Raw genomic sequence first — 21,008 nt, 5'->3', positions numbered from 1 at the left:
TTTCCTTCCATTTTTCTATTAATGTATAATTTACATGCTGTAACATTTACCCTTCCTAGCATACAGTTCTGCAGGTTTTGGCAAATGTATACAGTCATAGAACCATCGTGATAATCAAGTTAAAGAACAGTTTTTGGTGTCCTTTGTAATCAGCCCCTCTCCCCACCCCTGTTTTCTGTCTCTATAGTTTTGCCTTTTGCAGAATATATAAATAATCACTAAGCACAGTGTGTTTGAGGTTCATCCACATTGTTGCCTGTATCAGTAATTTCATCCTTTTTTATTGGTGAGCTGTATTCCACTGAATGGATATATCACCATTTCTTTAACCATTACCCACTTGAGCGACAGTTTTTGACCATTACAAATAAAGCCACTATAAACATTTGCATACAGATTTTTGTGTGAACATAAGTTTCCACTTCATTTGGATAAATACCTAGGCATAAGATTACTGGCTTGTGTGGTTAATGTATGTTTCACTCTATTAGAAACTGCCAATATATTTTTCAAAGTGGTTATGCCATTTTGTAGCTCCACCTGCAGGGTATGAAAGTTCCAGTTCCTCTGCATCCTTTCCAGCACTTGGTATTGTCAACATTTTGTTGTTCTGCTTTTGTTTTTTGAAGTTTAGCTATTCTAATAGGTGTTTAGTGGAATTTCATTGTAGTTTTCATTTGCATTTACCTAAAGTCTAATGATATTGAGTATTTCTTCATGTGCATATTTGCTATCCATGTATCTTTTTTGGTGAAGCGTCTGTTCAAGTCTTTCAGCCATTTTTTAAAACTTAGAATATTTGCTTTCTTATTACTGAAGTCTGAAAGTTCTTTATTCTGTATATAAGTCCTTTGTCAGATATAGTTTTTAAATATTGTCTCCCAGATTGTGGCTTGTCTTTCAAAAAGTCTCTTAATTTGCAAATGCTTATTTCATACATAGCTTCTTTATTTTATCGCCAATACTTCATGCACCGTAGATTTCATGCAGTCCCAGAACTACATAGCAAGAAAGTATAGTGGAGCATGCAGTATAGAGCTTGCCCAAAAAATGGAATAGGAGAGGTGTATTTAGGATTTATTATTCAAAGCCATGGTCTAGGCCAAGAGAAAAGGCAGTTGTTATTTTTATTGCTCATCTGTATCCAGAAACACAACTCTCCATGTCCAACCAGTGTACTTTTTGATGGGAATGTGTTGTCTTAGCTCAGGGGTGAAAACAGGTCCAGGGGAGCCTCTGCATAGGTAAGAATGCAACTGTGTTGTTTTGCATGTATGTTGCATGTGTGTATGTGCATGCAGACAGGAGAGAAAGAGAGAGCCAGAGGGACAATGAGACTGAGACAGAGACAGAGGTAGAAGAGTTTGGTATTAATAGTATGAGATTCAGTCCTTATGACCACATGCCCTGCTGCTGAAGAGGGATAGAATATATAACTCCATAAATCCTGAAAGCTTCCATTCTGTGCTTTGTGGACAATTTAAATGCTTTTCCAGCGGTATCTTTGATTGTATACTTTTTTTTCTTTCAAGCCAGTTTCCTAATTCTTACATTTCATGTTATTTCATTGTAACAAGTCAGATTAGAGAAAATAGAAGTGGTTTTTCAGAAACTATTATCTGTTTTAGCAGGTCCGAAATAAAATTTTCCCAGTGAGTAATGGAGATGTGTAGACTGTACTCCCCTTAATATAATTTAACATCAGCAAAAGTCCACTCCTTTTGTGTTGTTCTCTCTCTTTTGGAGTTATTCTGTCTTATTCTACCCTGCCACCCTGCTGACTGTTTCATCCATACACTTTCTGACAGTGACAGTGGCTCAGGGGGAATCTCTGTTGGGTTTTGCCCCTTTGGAAACTTAGGACTTCATTTTTAATCATTATTCACTTTTATCTTATAAAATATAAGAATTCATAAATTTTTAATACTGGAGGAAACTTTAGAGAGAACTTCTATTCCAGGCCTTCTCTTTATGGATAAGAGGATCAAGGCCCAGAACTTCGAAGGGACTCCTAATCTTGGAGCTAGAATGAATGGCAAAATTGAACACAGGCCTCTTACTTCCCAGTCCTGTGTTCTTTCCAGGCTGTAACAAAAGGAAAAGCTGCAGATGGTGCCTGGAAAGGGGATGTTCAAAAGTATGACTCAAATGAGCTTTGGGAAGTGCCATTGTATTTAAGTGTGGGAATAATTAAGAATGAACTGGTGAGACTGTTCAAGAAGTTGTCTCAAGCTTATAGAGAAAGATAGAAAGCTTTCAATTCATTTAAGGGATTAAGTTGTCATATCGAGAGTTGAGTGTACAGCAACCAAATATGATTTTAAAATAAATAAACCAATCAAGCCTTTTCTGAGCTGGGCCAGGGTATTGGGGAAGGTGGCCTGTGGCTGGGGAGGAAGACCAGTGAGGTTCACTGGTCATTGGAGCACAGCATGCCCCTGTGGTCACTCACTTCCGTGGTCATGGAACATGGACATTGTGATGCAAAAGGGTTTCAGCTGCAGGCCTTATAAACCAGTCCTCAGTGCCTGTAAACTAGGAGACCTGTGTATCAAAAGAATGTGGGAGATACACTCCCTACGAGTTGCTTAGATGCCTTTTTAAAGAGCTCCAGCCCAACTGCGCTTTAATCTCTGATATGAGAATGATACCTAGACCCACCACAGGCACCACATTCAGCTTCAGGGCCACCCACGAGCTGCAGTGAAATGTCAGATAGCAGGCAGATCCCAGCGGCAGGCCTGGGAGCCACTTCGTTCCAGCAGCCTTAACCTGCTGCTCATTCTAAGTAATGAGAGTCAGCACAGCCCGTGCCTCCAGAGGACTTCCTACCCACCAGGCCCTGTTCCGACACTTTATGTAGACTAAGTCATTTCACCTTCCCTACTGCCCTATTAGGCATGAACTATCATTATTCCCTTTTCACAGATGAGGAAACTGAGGCACAGAGGGCTGAAGTGACTCACCAGAGGTCACACAGATTGAATGCAGAGCAGCTGGGATTTACACACGGGTCTCTCTGATTCCCGAGCTCACACTCTTATCTCCCGTAATACGCTGTCTCTGGTATACACTCTGCAAACACTTCCTGCCTAGAATGCACCATCCTATACGGTCACCAGGAGGCCCTTGAGATGTGGCTAGTGTCACATGTTGAAATAATATTTTGCATAATGGGGTTCAATAGACTCTATTATTAAAATTAATTTCATCTGTTCCTTTTGACGTTAAAAAAACGTGGCTACTAGAAATTCTTAACTTTCACGTGTGGCTTGCATTTTATTTCTACTGGAGAGTGCAAGCTTGGGAGATGCCAAGCCGTGGCACAAAGCAGCCTGAGAGGCAGCCATGGCAAGTGCACTGCAGCCAGGACAGGGTGTCTGTGGGCAGTTGGCACCCTGACAGGCGGAAAGGTCACTCTCCCGCTACTGCTAAGAGATGGAGTGAATCGAAACCAACATTTCCTAAAGGGTACTTTGCAGGATATTAATAGCAAAACTAAATAGTCTCTTAGTAAAACACAGGCCCTGGGATGTTCAGCGTCTTATACTACTTCAAATAGATACTTTAAATATTTTCTCAAGTTATTTCAAGTGTCCCTCAGTTTCCTCATTTCTGAAATGAAGGTAATAGTTCCTACCATATCGGGTTGCTTTGAGGAATAATCAAGTTAATCCATATGAAGTGCTTAGGAGAGTGCCTGACACAGAGAAAAGCAACTCAACAAACGTTGGCCAGTATGATTATAGCCTATAGTCATTGTTGTTATCACACTTAGTTGAAGGAGCTACAGAATGGAGAATGAAAAGGACACAGAAGGGCTTTTGGGGGTAGTGCACCCAGCTCTCATGCCCAAGTCAGCAAATTTAACTCCCCAGGTAGCTGGAGGCACCCACCCCCTTAGAAGGTATTGAGGGGACCCTCAGACACCTTCCACTGCCCACCACCGCCCCTTAAAAGCCAAGAAGCTTCTCAGTTGTTGCCTTCCACTCGCACGCCCTTCTCTCCCTGAGAGGGAAGCCCATCCACACATCCCACCTGCGTCTTGTTATAGTTCTAGTGATGGTGCTGTCCCCATCACTTGCCTCTTAACTTGGCAAAGATCCCGTAAGTTTGGCAATCATGCGACTCAGCACATGTAAACTGGTTTCTTTCCTGCAAGACTTCTCAGGGCTCTTAAAATGCTAATGTGCATGGAGAAAGTTCCAGATGTGCATGCTGTGTTAAGTGTTTTGCAAAGTTAATTGATTTGTTTTTGGAACTATCTTATGGGACTAATGTTCCATAAACCACTCTCATGGAAACATAGTTTATAAAGGTTCAGGCCAGCCCAAAGTGAGTCTTAGCCACAATCTCTTCTGCCACCACTCTTTGTATTTATTTACTGTCAGCACTGTGCATGTAGCACTACTTGACACTGGGCACATCACTTAAAAAAATAATAATAAAACAAAAAAACAACAGCTCACACTATTATTTGTTTGGTTGATTTTTGTTGAGACAGGGTATCCCTATGTTGCATATGCTGGTCTTGAACTCCTAGCCTCAGGCATTCCTCCTGCCTTCACCTCCTAAATTTCTGGGATTACAGGAGGATCCACTGCACCCCATCAAAGATTCTTTCTAAAACAAAATTGTTTTGTTTGAGAATGTCAATATACTAATTTATAAAGATCAGATGTTTTGCATGCTACAAGTAAAACAATACCACTAATAATTATTATTATGTTAAATATGTATTGGACCTGTCCTCTGTGTCATGCCCTGCTTTAAGGGCATTTTATGTATTATCTCTTTTAATCTCCACAGTTACTCTTTGCAGTATGCTGTTATTACCATCATTTTACAGATGAGGAAACTGAGGCTTTAAAGAAGGAAATGACACAAGAAAGGGCAACTAGAGTAGCTTTAGGGGAGGAATGGAAACCAGGGTTGGCCTGGCTCCAGAATCCAAGTGGAACACCACAGATGATTCCTGTGCAGACTTCCTTCTCTCTGTCAAGCTTGGGTGGAGCAGAAAGGGGTCTCGCCTTGCTCCTGAATCCTCCCTTTGGTCCTGTGCTCTGTGAAGTCACAAGGTAGCCCAGCGCCTTGAGGAAACTCAGTTAAATTTTGATAAACCTTACAAAATAGAGAGCAATAATTAACTTTCCAACTGTTAATGTTAACATTCAGATCTCCTCGGCCCAACCCCATTTGGTAGGAAACACTTCAGTGAGTAACCACTGAATAACGAGGCCTGGCTGGTATTTGCTGAAATAATTCCAGTTATTTAGTAACATACTGTGCATTTTATTGTATTGCAACGTGAAGTGAAGCTCATTTAAAACATTTTTACCAATAAATCAGCAGATGTTAAAGTTTTTTGCTGTGAGGTTTTTTAAAATAAGGATACTATCTTAAATTTTTGTAATCCTTTTTTTAAAAGATTGGACCCACGTTTTATTCTTGTTTTGTCATTGCTGTTGTTTATTTCAACTTATCTAGCCCAGTACTTGGCACAAAATCGATGTTCCACGAGTGAATTTTTTTAAAAATGTAACTTATAATTTATAAGAAATTCTCTATATGCTTTCTTATTTAATTCTCAAAATAGCCATAAGATGGAAGCAAGTATTTATATGCCCATTTAAAGGTCAGGAAACTGAGGCCCAGAGAAGTGACTCAGAAAAGAGCCTTCATATGGGATAGTAGGGTGAAGACCAGCCCTCAGCACTTCTGGTTTTGTAGTTCCTCCTTTTTTCACAGTATTAAAAAGTTGGATGTCAGAAATGCAATCAGGCACACTCTGTGCTGATTTGCCCCACTAGGAGTATACAGCTCATGGCTTTGAAATTGTTAATGTAAGCCAGAAAATTGTTTTTAAGCACACTTAGTCACTCTACCTTAAATGGTTCCTTTTAGTTCCAACTCACTTTATGACTTTGTGACTGGCAAAAAATAGAAAAATATGATAATGATATTTATTCATTCGTTCCTATGCACTAGGCACTGTGCTAGCCCTTTGCATGCATGATCTCCAATTATTCCTCAAAGCCACTCTATGAAATAGGTACTGTTCTTACTCCACATTGTAAGTGGGAGGACGGAGGGTGAGCAGGAGTCAGTTATTTGCCCAAGGTCAAATAGGACTTAAATCGGGCCTCCCTCCCTTCATTGCATGAGTTCTTCAAACATTGGCTGTTTGTGGCAGTGTAAGCGTGACTACTTCCCTTTTGTGAGCATCGACGCCAAAGTAGTTGCAAAAGCCTGTATTAACTCATGTCCTTGTAATAAAATGTGAGAACTGTAATACCTATGATGTGGCGATAGGAAACATACAGTTGCCAGTTAGAGCTTTTTTAAACACGTCTAAATTTATTTAGATGCATATATGAGGATTCAGATTGCTAAGTATTACACTTTTCTTCTAATGCAAACATGCGTTTACTACTTGGAGGCATCAATATGCTATTTTAGGATTTGAGCTGGGCCAGGTTCTTCATAAGCTATTTAATTAAGTAAACATGATTAATTTTTGAGGAACCCTCAAAGAAAAAGAAACATGAAAAAATGATGTCCTGTTTCGAAGTGTCTTATTTGAACTTCAAGAAGAAGCAAGAAAATGGTGTAACCACTTTGGAAAACAATTTGGCAGTTCTTCAAAATGTTATACATAGAGTTACTGTATGACCTAGCAACTCTGCGGCTATGTATATACACAAGAAGAACAAAAATATATTCACCCAAAACCTTGCACATGAATGTTCATAGCAGCAATGTTCTTATTCAGTTGGGTTGAATGTCCACCCAAATGTCCACCAATGATGAATGGATAAACATTATGTGGTATATCCATACAGTAGAATATTTAACAGTAACAAGTAATGGAATACTGATGCATGCTACAACATAGACGAACCTTGAAAACATTGTACTAAGTGAAAGAAGCCAGTCACAGAAGGCCACATATTGTATGACTACTTACATGACATGTCAGAATAGGCAAATTCATAAATAGAACAATATAGGTTAGTGATTGCCAGGGGCTGAGGAAAGGGGAGAATGGAATGGCTGCTAAGAGGTATCGGATTTCTCCTTGGGATTATGAAAATATTCTAAAGTTAGATGGTGGCCATGATTGTGGAACTCTATGAATATCCTGAAAACCACTGAACTTCATACTTTGAAAATTGTATGGTATATAAATAATCTTACCAAACTAATATTAAAAATTAATCATAAATGTAAAACTACGTAGGAGGAAAAAAAGAAGAGCAAGAATACACAGACCATTTTTTCAGTGCTTTCCAGGACAGTGAAATTTTATTAGGTAGCCCGTTCTGATTAAACTGTAAGCAAAGTGACTTTGCAAATTCCTGAAACACTAGCCTCTATTCCTCCTTTAGCATTATACTAAAAGCTCACAAAAGAGAAATGTGGATCACTTTCTGTTTATCCTAACAGTGTGTACTCCGTTGGTGAAAACTATTCTGTTATTACAACTCTATTCAGAAGCAACAGAGTTGAGTGGGTATATAAGATATAGTGTCTATTTTTAATGCTATTTTTAATGAGAAATTCAAAGTTGCTTGCTAAAATGGTTAATGTGATAGAAATTAGTTGGACCAGTTAGGTGAATAAATATCATTCTAACTCATTAGGAGAAAAAGGTCAAATTGATAAAAGACTGAGGACCATTCTGTTTTAGAAGATATTGCTTTTGATCCTGAAGAAATAATTTGGGTTTTACATTTTCATGCCACCTAAAGTATGCTGAATTATTTCTTCGATACACAGATTACTTGTGGGTGAAATATCCTCCAGAAATATTACAATTACATGAGTTGTTTGCTGGTAGAAATTGTAGCCTTTTTCTGATTAATGCCTTCATTTCTTTGATTTTATTTATAAGTATACTTTGTTTCCATTTATGGCCTTGATTCATCTGCAGGTTTTCTTGTGCCCAAGTCCTCTCTGATGATTCTGATAGTACATTTGTTTTTCCCCTCTGATGATTCTGATAGTACATTTGTTTTTCCCCTTAGTGGTCAAAAAAAAAAAAAAAAAGAATTCCATACAACATTTCCTGAGTGTTGTTCTCACTGCAGTACTCTTCTCTAAGTAAATCCAATAAATAAAATCATGATATTTACAGAAAACATTAAGGATTATTTACTTTTCACAAACTTAGTGATATAGTTTCTCTTTTTTAAACAGCTTTATTGAAGTATAAGTCCCATACATATTATTCACCCATTTAAACTGTACAGTTTAATGATTCTTTGGTATATCCACAGATATGTATAATCATCATTTCAGTCAATTTTAGGATATTTTTATCACTTGAGAAAAAGAATCTGTACTTTTTAGCTAACCACACTCCCATCTCCCCACTCCATCTCTGTCCAAAATGCTTGAGACTAGAATTCTTTCAGATTTTGGGTTTTTTTGGATTTTAGGATGCTTGCATATACATAGTGAGACATCTTGAGCATAGAACCCAAGTCTAAACATATATCTTTCATATACACCTCATACACATCGGCTGAAGGCAATTTTATTCCATAGTTTTATTAATTGTGTGCATGAAATAAAGTTTGTGTTAAATACTTATGTGTGGAATTTTCCACTTGGTGGTGTCATGTCAGCATTTAAAAAGTTTTGAATTTTGGAGCATTTTGGATTTGGGGTTTTCAGATAAGGGATACCCAACTTGTACTACTCTACTTTCTGTCTCTGTAGATTTCCCAGTTTTAGACATTTCCTATGACTGGAGACCTTTGATGTGTGGTCTTTTGTGACTGGCTTCTTTAACTTTCCTGGTAGAATAAAGTCCATCAAAGTGTTTTATAATGATAAAAAAGTCAATTTATAAGGAAGATATAATAATTATAAACATGTATGCACCTGATAACAGAACACCAAAATATGTAAAGCAAAAACTGACAGAAATGGAGGGACAAATAGACAATTCAACAACAATAATTGGAAACTTCAGCACCCCGCTTTCAATAATGGATAGAGCAGCCAGGCAGAAGATTGACAAGGAAGTAGAAAAGTTGCCCAACACTATAAACCAACTACTAAGAGATATCTATTGGACACGTTACCCCACAAACAGCAGAGTATTCTGAGGTGAACATGAAACATTCTCCAGCACACACCAGATGCAAGAACATAAAACAAATTTCAATACGTTTAAAAGGATAAAAGTAATACAGAACATATTTGCTGATCACAATGTAACAAAATTAGAAATCCATTACAGACAAAAAATGAGAAGCTCAAAAGTATGTGGAAATTAAACAGCACACTCCTAAATGAACAATGATTCAAAGGAGAAAGCAGAAAATATTTTGAGATGAATGAAAATGAAGACTCAACATACCAAAACATGGGATGGTGCCAAAGCAGGGCTTAGAAGAAACTTTAGAGCTGTAAATACTTCTATGAAGAAAGAAGAAAGGTCTCAAAGCAATAACCTAACCTTCTACTTTAAGGCAACGGAAAGAAAAGAGCAAGTTAAAACTAAAGCAAGCAGAAGAAAAGAAATCGAGATTTGAGCAGAAATCAACAAATGAGAAATAGAAAACTAATAGAGACTTTAAATCTTCTAAAATGTCTAACACTTTACTTACTATAATAAATCAAATTGTAATATTTACAGAAGACATTAAGCAAGGACTATTTATTTTTCACAGTATAAGTGATATACTTTCTTAATGTATTAAAAAAATTTAATTTTCAACATAGCTTCCATACACCTGTTGTAAAAAGCAAAAATCTTCGTGAAAATATCCACCAGGCACTGTCTTTTTCTCAATTCATATTTACTTTGGAAGCTGTTCACCAAATCATGAGCTCATTTCAAACCGTAGCTGTTGAGAAAGCTCACCTAATCGAAAGAGCACAATTTCGGGAATTGAGCAAATCTACGACTGATTCCTTGTACCTCCACTTCCTGCAATGTGACTTTGAATAAGTTGCTAATTTCTTTGAGACTTATTTTCCTCATCGGGAAAATACAGGTAATTTTCTCACTTTGAAAGGAGTAAGTAAGATAACATACATAAAAGAGCCGAATTCAATGCCTGGTACATAGTAGGTGCTTGTTTAATATCTAGTCTACATTCATTTGATGATTTAACAATTGATTTGGTCCTGGTATGCATATATTGAAAGCTCATATATGTATACAAATGCCAGTTGGTAGACATGCAATACTTATTGGCATTGGTATACATATATGAGTGTTCTTGAAAGAAAAACTAGAAGAAGAATCTAATGTTACATCTTATGTACCAGGTTTTTGGCTAGCGATATTATCTATAACTGGACTGCATAAAACTTGTTTGACAGTTTGTTCAGATTTTACTATAGTAGTCCTCCCTTACCCTTGGTGTATATGTTCCAAGATCCCCAGTGGATGTCTAAAACCACACATAGTACCAATCTGATTGCCATCAGCCAGAAAGTTTCTGTTCCTGTCTTCCAACCACAAATTTAATGCCTTTCCATCTTAAATAAACTGATTGCGCACTGTATCCGTAACTTTTGCAGTTTGAGGTGCGAAAGCAAAACTAGCACCAGCTTCTTTTCATTCTTCACAATTTCACAGAGGGAAGATTTGTTCTTATCATAGACCTTAACAACCTCAGCATGCAACGTTTTTTTTTCTTTGCTTATTAAGTTGGGAATTTTCACCTTTTCGCTTAAAGGAAGAACTTTACAGCTTCTTTTTGGCTTAATACGAATTACCAGTATCACTACTCTTGCACTGTGAGGCTGTCATTAAGTAAAATAAGGATTCCTTAAACACAACACTGCAATACCTTGACAGTCGATCTGATCACCGGAATGGCTACTAGGTGACAAGGTGGGGTGTGTATATAGCTACCTTAAAGGATGATTTCCAGCCCCAGGCAGGATGGGGCAGGATAGTGCCAGAGTCCATCACACTGCTCAGAATGGTATGCAATTTAAAGGTTATGAATTGTTTATTTCTGGAATTTTCCATTTAATATTTAAGGACTGAGGTGACTGCAGGTAACTGAAACCAAGGGAACCGAAACCATGAAAAAGGGGGGACCACTGTATTTTAATAATGACTAAAACACTCAGGCAAAATGCACATCCTGGCCTAAACTGATTCTTTTAGCAATTGGTTATAATGGTCAAATATTTAGGCCCTTCTAATATGAAACCACTTAAAATTTAACTGTTTTTAATTTTTATTTTTACCTTTGGTATTGATGTAACAAATTCTATTCCTTATGTGTTAGGTAAGCATACTTCTTCATTGTACAATTCTGTTGCCTATTTTAGACCACAAACTGGTGGCATTAAAGCATTAAAGCACATTTATGATCTGATTGTCAAGTTAACTGATGAAATTCTGTTTTTACTCAAAGTATATTTTGGCAGGCACTTTAATGCTTATTCTGTTTATTGCATAGTTGATGATGCAAAAATTCAGTATTTTCATCAGTAATATAAACTTCAAGCCAAGTTGGAAACTAGTGATTCTCAAAATTTCAGTGTTAATATCAGTCACCTGGGGATCTAGTTAAGTTTAGATTCAGGCCTGGGGTGGGGCCAAAGAATCTGCATTTTAACAAGCTTCTAATTGTCAATTTTGCTGGTCCACGGACCCTACTCTGAGCAGCAAGACTGTGGAGAACCCAAGAAGAGGCCTAGGCATGAGCTGGAAATGAGTAGAGCTAATCTGACATTATAAATCATGGTCCCAGCTGCCTGCCCAGACTCTCGGAGTTTAATTTATTTCCTTAACTGAGCCCTGGAGTAAGTTAATTAAAAATTCAGAGACATTGAATTGCTGTGATTCTAATATTTTAAGTATTGAAATGATCTAATAATGTAATAAAATACCTGGTTGTGCATTTTCTACAGTTCCTCTGTATCGTCTGTTAGCCTGTCCACTTCTCAGACCTCTTTGTATTAGAACTCATTGAATAGCAGGAGTGATATATATGAAACATTTCCTTTTTTTTTTTTTTTTTTTGTTTGAGACAGAGTATCCCTTTGTCTCACCCAGGCTGGAGTGCAGTAGCACAATCTAAACTCACGTCAGGCTCTGCCTCCTGGGTTCAAGCAATTCTCGTGCGTCAGCCTCCTGAGTAGTTGGGATTACAGACGTGTACCAGCATGCCTGGCTAATTTTTGTATTTTTGGTAAGGACAGGGCTTCGACACGTTGGCCAGTCTGGTCTCAAACTCCTGGCCTCATGAAATTCACCTGCCTCGGCCTCCCAAAGTGCTGGGATTACAGGCATGGGCCACCGTGCCCAGCCTCCATTTAAGTTTTTCAGAGCTCTGTAGCTACGTTACTGGCCCTTACTATATCTATGGCAAATAACAGTGAGCGTGAGATTCCTTGAATCAATCCCAGCAAAGCTTTTGTTAACAAATGAATAAGAATCACGTGCAATTGTTTCCCTTAAGCTCGGGCCTGATTTTCTAATACCGTAAGCGAGCAAGTATGAAAGCTTCCCAGGGAAGCTAATCTCAAATCCTTAGTCACTTAGGTGGGAGTACGGATTGAGGTGCATCTGTAGAGTCCATGGAGGACTTGTTTTTGTATGTAGTTTGACCACAGAGGGATCAATTTAAAATGTGTCAAATTAAATTCTTAATATAAAATAGATGTGGCTTGAAATGTAATGCATACCATCTGATTTGTTACAGAACACAAAAATAGGCACAGTAAAGACAAGAAGAAAACCAGAGCAAGAAAATGGGGAGAAAGGATTAACCTGGCTGGTGACGTAGCAGCATTAAACAGCGGCTTAGCAACAGAGGCATTTTCTGCTTATGGTAATAAGACGGACAACACAAGAGAAAAGAGGACCCACAGAAGGACAAAACGTTTTTTATCCTATCCACGGTTTGTAGAAGTCTTGGTGGTGGCAGACAACAGAATGGTTTCATACCATGGAGAAAACCTTCAACACTATATTTTAACTTTAATGTCAATTGTAAGTACATTCAAACGAAGGTGATTTATGAGGTCTCTAAATGTGCCATTGGGGAATGGGTTTCCACTCAGTGCTTTGGAGGACCATTCAGAACTGGCATTTCAGCCATTCAGGCAAGTGACTGAAGAGAACATAAGATTATTTGTTGGTTGCCTTTTTAAACTGACAACAGTGGTTATCAATACGGAGTGTTTATTCTGTGTTAGACAATGTGCTTCTTACTTAAAAGGTATAATTTTGAATCCTTCTGGCAACGCTGCCAGGTGAGATTATCAATCATGCCCATTTTATAGATAAGAAAACTGAGTCTCAGAGGAGTTAGGTCACTTGCCCATGGTCAGGTAAATCACTCATAAATCACTTGGACGCTGCCTGTGGCCTTTAGCTTGTCCAGTTCCGAAAACCAATGCTTTTTGCCTCACTTAGGAACTTTGTACAGCCAGTTGTGGATATTCAGTAGTATTAGGGAGGCTGGTTGTGAACCATAGTCACCTGTGGAACTTCTAAAAATAGCCTCTTCCCCAGGATTCTAATTAAGTAGCCTGGGGAGTGAGGCCTAGGAGGCTTTCATTCTATTTTTCTACTCCCATTTTGAATTAAAACCACAGTAAATTTGCACGATTTTTTAAAAATCAGAACCAAAGTCTATTGTTAAAAACTAAGTATCATTCTCTATGCAGACTTCCAGGCCCCTTCCCAGTGGCAGCCACTGTTGAAAGTTTTTGTATATGTTTCTAACAAGCACTGCCCAATAGAAACATAATGCAAACCACATATTTAATTTCAAATGTATTTAAATTAAAAAAAATTCCTAATTTTAAATTTTCATGTAGCCACATTAAAAGAAAAAGTTTTTAAGAAAATGGCCAAGTGCAGTCACTCATGCCTGTAATCCCAACACTTTAGGAGGCTGAGGTGGGATAATCTGAGGCCCAGAGTTTAAGACCAGCCTGGGCATTATAGCAAGACCTGGTCTCTATTAAAAAAAAAAACCAATTAGCCAGGTGTAGTGGCATATACCTATAGTAGGCTCAGGTGCTCGGGAGCTGAGGTGAGAGAATCTCTTGAGCCCAGGAGTTTGAGGCTACAGTGAGCCTTGATTGCGCCACTGTGCATCAGCCTTGGAGACAGAGTGAGACCCTGCCTCAAAAAGAAAAAGTAAAATATAAACAGGTAAAATTAATTTTAGCAATATGTTTTATATCAAATATTATTTTAAAAATTATTAATGAGATATTTCACATTTTTTATACTAAGGCTTCAAAATCCAGTGTGTTTTACACTCTCAGCATACCTCAATTTGAGCTAGCCACGTACTAGTGCTCACTAGCCACTTGTGATGGGTGGCCACTGTTGGGCAGTGCAACTCTAGGTATTTCTTATGCAAACATGTTCGCATATACAGCTTCTTTTCAAACAGGAGGCATTTTCACATACTGTATTACACATTGCTGTTTTTTTGAACGATTCGAGATGGGTCCAGAAAAGCCCGTATAGACTTCCTCTTTCTCATTTTCAGCCGTAGCATAACTTTTCTTTTAATAGACGAGCCCTGATTTACCTGAACTGAAACTTATTTTTAATAAATCCCCCAGATGAATGTGAAAAGCAATCCTGTTTGGGCATAGCTTTAGGGTTTCTTCTTCCCCCCTTGTGGCCTATGGTACTCCTTGCCTTTTTGTTCACTGCTGTGACCCATTCCCCTCTGCGCCCCCCAACCCTGCCTGGCCTCCGTGCCCCTCTCACCCCCACATGCCGCTCAGTCCCAGATACTCCAGCCCTCTCATGCCCATGAGGGAAGGGAACATCTAATCAGGCCCTGCGCATATGCACAGCCTCATTTTCACCTCTTAATTTCAGTTCTCTCCTAAGAATTTTGATTATGAACATGGACTTTGGGTCAAACTGCCCTAGGTTGAGAGTTCTGGCTCTTCTACTCACCAGTGTGTAGCCTCAGACAAGTGACTTAATTTCTCTGAGTGACTTAGTTTCCTCATTTGTTGAACAGAAATTTTAATAGTACCCAGCCCAGAGTTTTGCTGTATAGAGACTAAATGCATTTGTGTATTTAGTTTTCAGCCCAGAGTTTCGCTGTGTAGAGACTAAATGCATGTGTGTATGCAGTTTTCAGCCAGCTCACAATAAGCATTTAGTAAATGTTAGCTCCTATAATTAATTATAATACTGCAAAAATAAAAACCCCACCAGGTTAACGAGGTTGTCAAGGACACAATGGGTGGCAAACATTAAAGAATAGCAGTGTCGGCTAACGTGCACCCAATGTGAGATTCTATAAGTTGGCAATCCAGGACTTCAGATGAGAGGAAAGAGCTTGATGGAAAATTAATATCCAGTGTTCTGGTACAGAGAACTGTTAAGTCACGTGGCAATGCAATTTCAGAGGAATTTAAATTTGTTTGAATTCACTGTTATCTAAAACTGTGATCTATGAATTTTATGAAGAGACTTTACAAAAAGTGTTGTTGAGTGAATGAAAAATTCACAACCACAAAATGCATATGTTGCAAGAAACGTAAAAAAGAGGTGGAGCCCAACGTAAGACGTGACTTGCTTATTGCTTACACGGAGTTCACAATTAACTTTGAAAAATTTATCTCGGTTGCAGGTAGCCTCTATCTATAAAGACCCAAGTATTGGAAATTTAATTAATATTGTTATTGTGAACTTAATTGTGATTCATAATGAACAGGTAATAAAGTTTTTTTCTTTTTTCTTCTATCTGTATCCGAAATGGCATATCTAATTGGGATCGGTACAACAGATTAACCATAATTCTTCTCTGTATTTAGGATGGGCCTTCCATATCTTTTAATGCTCAGACAACATTAAAAAACTTTTGCCAGTGGCAGCATTCGAAGAACAGTCCAGGTGGAATCCATCATGATACTGCTGTTCTCTTAACAAGGTATATGGATTTCTTATTCCTCAGATCTTTCAGTCTCAGGTCAAGTTGATGGGATGTGGTCATGCATTCCTAATAGTCAGCTGCTAGTGGAGGGTTTCTCAGCTTAGGCACTGTTGACATTTTGGGCTGGACAATTCCTTCTGTGCATTGCAAGATGTTTAACAGCATCCCTGGCCTCTGCTCACTACGTATTAGTAGTACTCCCTCCCCTCAGGTGTGACAACCAGCAATGTCTCCAGACATTGCCACTGCCCCCCGTGGGGAGGGCAGAATCACCTTGGTTGAGAACCACGAACCTATAGATACCAAGTGAGGAATAAATGTGTTAGGCAGACCTGAAAATACATGCCTTATATAACAGGCAAGGGCAGCTGCTGTTCAGATGGACCTGGCGTTGCCATGTAGTATATGAGTTCAGTGTTGCCAGCTTTTGTGATTTTGCAAAAGCCAGAAAAATGAATTTTTTAAAAATGTGAAACCTCCCAAGTTTTCTATGGTAGCTACTATCTCAAAATGTTAAAACACTGTAGCAACAAAGACGCGTGCTGGCTTAATTGTGCCTCCCACCTCCTGCCATCTCAATTGTGGTCATGAGCACGTCCTCTTAAATGAAAGTAAAACAAAGGTATCTTGCACCTTCTCAGGAATGTTCTCAAAGAGTCTTTACGAAACTGGAATCATTTACCCCAGGGTATTGGGAAAATCCTGGTTGGAGAGATTTCTTACTGCTCTGTGACCGCCCTGACCACAGAAGAAAACTTCTTAATGTAGTAGTTTATAATTCTTAAATCAACAATTCCAAAAATTTTTTGAGTTTTGAAACTCTGGTCTTATGAATTTGCTTTTTTTAACCCCCACCCCAAAGTGTGTACTGTTGTGAATGCCTAGACGACCCTAAAGTATTTACTTGTATTGACATTTACTCTTTGATGTCATCAAGGCCTAAGTCTGCTTTGCTTTCAGACAGGATATCTGCAGAGCTCACGACAAATGTGATACCTTAGGTGAGTTCTCTGTGCGTATCTTCTATGGCTAAAACCGTTTTACTACATGTTTGTATTTCAAGCCACAGTTGCTTTTTAGAGTAAATCCTTGTTGGTTTTTTTCCTTCTAATAGGCCTGGCTGAACTGGGAACCATTTGTGATCCCTATAGAAGCTGTTCTATTAGTGAAGATAGTGGATTGAGTACAGCTTTTACGATCGCCCATGAGCTGGGCCATGTGTGAGTTACCTTTCAGTAATTTCATTTAATTTGGAGTGACCTAAACCTTTTATTCCTTCGCATCAGTGAGCATTTACTTGACTTTCGAGTGTGTAAGAGACTTCCCGAGTCATAGTAGAGTTGCAGGGTTGAAGAGCTTTGAACCTAATTAGGTGAAATGACTTTGACTTCCAAAAGTTGAGTAAATGCAGTGCACTCTCTTTAGTCATAGCTTGTGTGTATCTTCAGTTTAACTGCTCAAGTTTAATACACAAGGTCTAATATTCTCCCTTCCTACTGGGAACTGGAGAAATGGGGTCTTTCCATTCCTTCTACTGAAGCAGAGGATATATTAGCCTAGAGAACTTTCCTGATTTAACACCTTTGTCTAGGAGGGTCCCCCACCATTACTGTGGCCCCCAAGATTTTTACAAATCCAGACCATTCCCGATTCTAGTTATACACTGCTCTAATTCTGATATTTAGCACTGGGAACAGTAGTATCCCTTTTTTCAGGAAAGAGAATGAACAAAGATAGAAAGAAGGAATCATTTCCTAATTATGGTCACTAAGTGGCCGTTATGAAATGGCCTTTCCCTTTTGTTTTTTAGAGATAGAGCACGGTTAGAACATGGGGCAAAACACTGCAAATTGACTAGAAATTATTCTGAGTTTTGATCTGCATTATTTTCTTTCTAGGATGATTAAATTACTTATACTATCTATTTCGAAATAATTTTCTGAAAGGATATTAATAGATCAATTTGTGTGGCAGATGGTAACTTTACTTAGAGCTAACATCATTTATTAAACAAGATTTTCATTCATACATTTAAGGTCCCCTATGTGCAGTGTAGTGTACGAGGCACAGAGGGAGATGCATATACACAGGTGTCTCCAATTTAGCTCAATATATAACAGGTATATTTTTAAACTAGTACCTTTCAAACATATATTAAGAGCACACCCCTTTTCTTTTCTCCAGAGGAAATACAGTCAAATGCCTCATATTTAGAACATAAAAGAGGTCTGGCTTTCCATTAAGCATTTGTGGCAGGCCCAACCTGCTTAGTCAGCATCGTCTCTATCCTCGTGGTTTCTGAGGCACTTTTGTGAAACTCAAGGAAGCCTTGAAGAGAATTCCCATTCCAGCTTCCCCAGCTTAGTGGCGGTGGGACTTGATCAAGTAATTAAAGCTCTCTGTGGCTCAGTTTTCTCATCTGCAAAATGCAGATAATAACAGTACAGGTGTAGAATTCCTTACCCAAATGCTTGGGACCAGAAGTGTTTTGGATTTTGGATTGTCTCAGATTTTTGCAATATTTGCATATCCATAATGAGATATCTTGGGGATGGGACTCAAGTTTAAGCAAGGAATTTATGTTTCATGTATACCTTATGCACATAGCCTAGAGGTAATTTTATATGATATTTTTAAATAATTTTATGCATGAAACAAAGTTTGTGTTACACATTTATGTGTGGAATTTTCCACTGGTGTCAGGTTAGCACTCAAAAAGTTTTGGGTCTTGGAGGATTTTGGATTTGGGGTTTTGAGATTAGGGATGTTCAACCTGTACTATTCATTGGGTAAAATAAGTGATTAAATGAAATAAGGCATCTAAAGCATTTAGCACATTTTCTGGTGCATTGTGAATGCTGAAAAGTTGTGGTTATTATCGTTCGTAAGCGTCCAATAAGCATTTATTATTATTTAACTCCTGCAGTGAGCAAATGTGAGTAACATTTGAATGAAAATAAATTTTCAGCTTATTTACATGAGGTAATAAACTTGACTTTATCAAGTAATTGTGGGAGTGGGGAATAAACCTCATCTGGGGATGGGAAATAAACACCACTATAAAGAAACCACTAAGATTTGAATGCCTTGCTTGTTTTAAGTTTGTTGATGCAGGTATTGCATTGATTATGCATCAGGGAACTGGAAACCAAGGCATTCGTTCTTTTAAGAAAATAGATTCTTAAGCATAGGAGTCTCATGTTTTAAGAACTATTTCTAAGTTCAACTAAGATCGAGTTTTTCTGTCTCTATTGGCAAGTATTAAGAGGCATAAACTTTAAAGAAAAAGGGAAAATGTGATAAATTAATGGAATAGACTCCATAGGCTTTTATTCCAACTTTTATATGATGCAAGTCTATGTGCTTCTGTCTGACTCACTTATTTCTGTAATCAAGATGAACTAGTGAAGGGAATTTCTCTCTCAATGCTAAATTAATTACATGCATTGGGGATAGTCATCCAGAGAGAGGGAAGGTGACCCTTCTGAGGTTGTCACCCAGTAGATAATTGCCTGAGCTGAGAATGGCATGTGGGTCACAGAATTGGTGTTTCTGGATTTAGGAAATACTTCCTATTTTTTTTCCACTCCTGCTGGCTAAGCCAAGAATGGCAAATATGTGTTCATGCTGCTGCATTCCCTTCCAGGCCCATAAGGACGTTGGCAATCCTTCATAGCCTTCTCACAGGCGGAACCTGGATTAATTTAAGAACCCTTTTGTGCCTGGCTTTTCAGGAAGCCAGTACCAATCAATTGGTGCTGGCATGAAGCATGAAACTATTTGCCATCTCTGAGTTATGCCAGTAGAATTGGCATGCTTCTGGTTTCCATGCATACCACTACCTTTCATGGGTTTTATTGTGCACAAACTTTGCATGCCTTTAGAATGATATACCTACGCAGGTATATAATTTGTCACCCTGATCCAAAAAGGGGAAGATGCCAAGACCCATAGTGAGCCTCTTATTAGAAAGCTCTTGGCTTCAGTTTTTGACACTTCCCTGACTCTTTATATTCACGTTATCATAAGCTGCCAAATTCTTGACTCTATAAATTGCCCTTTAACAGCTTATTAGGAATTCCAACTACTGTATTCTAGCACCAACTACAGCATATTCAGAGCCTCTGCAATTCCTAAAAGTACACTTAAACCAAATACATGGGCCAGCCTGCATCTTTTAAAATACATTTTATGCCTTTACACTTCGTATTAAGTTGGGTGAGAATTATGTTTTAATCTACACTCTATCTTGAATTGTCTTACATTTTATTCTGCTTACCAGGGTTCAGGTTCTTATCCAAAATGAAGTTAAATTTTTTTCTCTTAGATAGTTGCATTCCTGAAGCAATTAGAACAGCATGATCCCTTGGTGTTTATTGACATTCTCATCATTGTCTCATTGGCTTTAGGTTTAACATGCCTCATGATGACAACAACAAATGTAAAGAAGAAGGAGTTAAGAGTCCCCAGCATGTCATGGCTCCAACACTGAACTTCTACACCAACCCCTGGATGTGGTCAAAGTGTAGTCGAAAATATATCACTGAGTTTTTAGAGTAAGACTTGAACATTCTTTTAGCACAAACTTCTAGTGCCTGGCCTACATGTAGTGAACTAATTGTGGGAAAGACAATATGAAGTCAAACATTCCTTTTGAGTTATTTTTGTTGACATTCCTTGGAGAAGGCAAAAAAAAAAAAAAAAAGCTCTCTGACATCTGTGTAGTTCATATCCTTGACAGAGTTTAGAAGATTACAGACTGAGCTAAAGAAAAGGTTGGAGTCTTAAAGAGGATGTGGAAATGTTGCTTCATTTTGGGTAAAGTTTTGAGATTTGTTCAGACATTGGGAGAGGGACTATGAATGTGATTTCTTAATGAAGGCCACAGGTATTTATGCACTTCTAATTTAGTAATTTGGGCCTGAAAAGGGGTGGGGTAGTGAGATGATCCCAAAGCAGATTCCGTGGATGAGTGGAAATTACAGCAGCTCCCACATTGTTGAGTTGAGGACATTCTCTCTCTGCGTCACTCTTCCTCTCCCCCTCTTCCCTCTCCCTTTTCTCTTTTTTCCCATTTCCTTTCTTTTCTTGTTTTGTTTTTTA

General features: G+C 38.3%; 1 protein-coding gene across 5 annotated transcripts in view; it reads left to right on the top strand.

Annotated features, from left to right (window-relative positions):
- ADAMTS9 (ADAM metallopeptidase with thrombospondin type 1 motif 9) overlaps positions 1 to 21,008 on the top strand; it is a 172,347-nt gene that overhangs the window by 16,523 nt on the left and 134,816 nt on the right. For 3 of the 5 annotated variants that reach the window (XR_245151.1, XR_007095712.1, NM_182920.2), the window contains exons 4-9: positions 12,687 to 12,976; positions 15,603 to 15,686; positions 15,787 to 15,902; positions 16,866 to 16,906; positions 17,020 to 17,125; positions 20,315 to 20,461. Coding sequence is in view for 2 of the 5 variants with exons in the window: in NM_182920.2 (NP_891550.1) it covers positions 12,687 to 12,976; positions 15,603 to 15,686; positions 15,787 to 15,902; positions 16,866 to 16,906; positions 17,020 to 17,125; positions 20,315 to 20,461 (784 nt within the window). In the remaining 3 variants the exon portion in view is untranslated. The remainder of the gene's footprint in view (positions 1 to 12,686; positions 12,977 to 15,602; positions 15,687 to 15,786; positions 15,903 to 16,865; positions 16,907 to 17,019; positions 17,126 to 20,314; positions 20,462 to 21,008) is intronic. The other 2 variants (XR_007095711.1, NM_001318781.2) reach the window with 1 other exon arrangement.

This window comes from Homo sapiens, chromosome 3 (genome assembly GCF_000001405.40).
Source record: "Homo sapiens chromosome 3, GRCh38.p14 Primary Assembly".
Lineage (NCBI taxonomy): Eukaryota > Metazoa > Chordata > Mammalia > Primates > Hominidae > Homo > Homo sapiens.
This window is presented reverse-complemented; position numbering and strand designations above follow the sequence as displayed.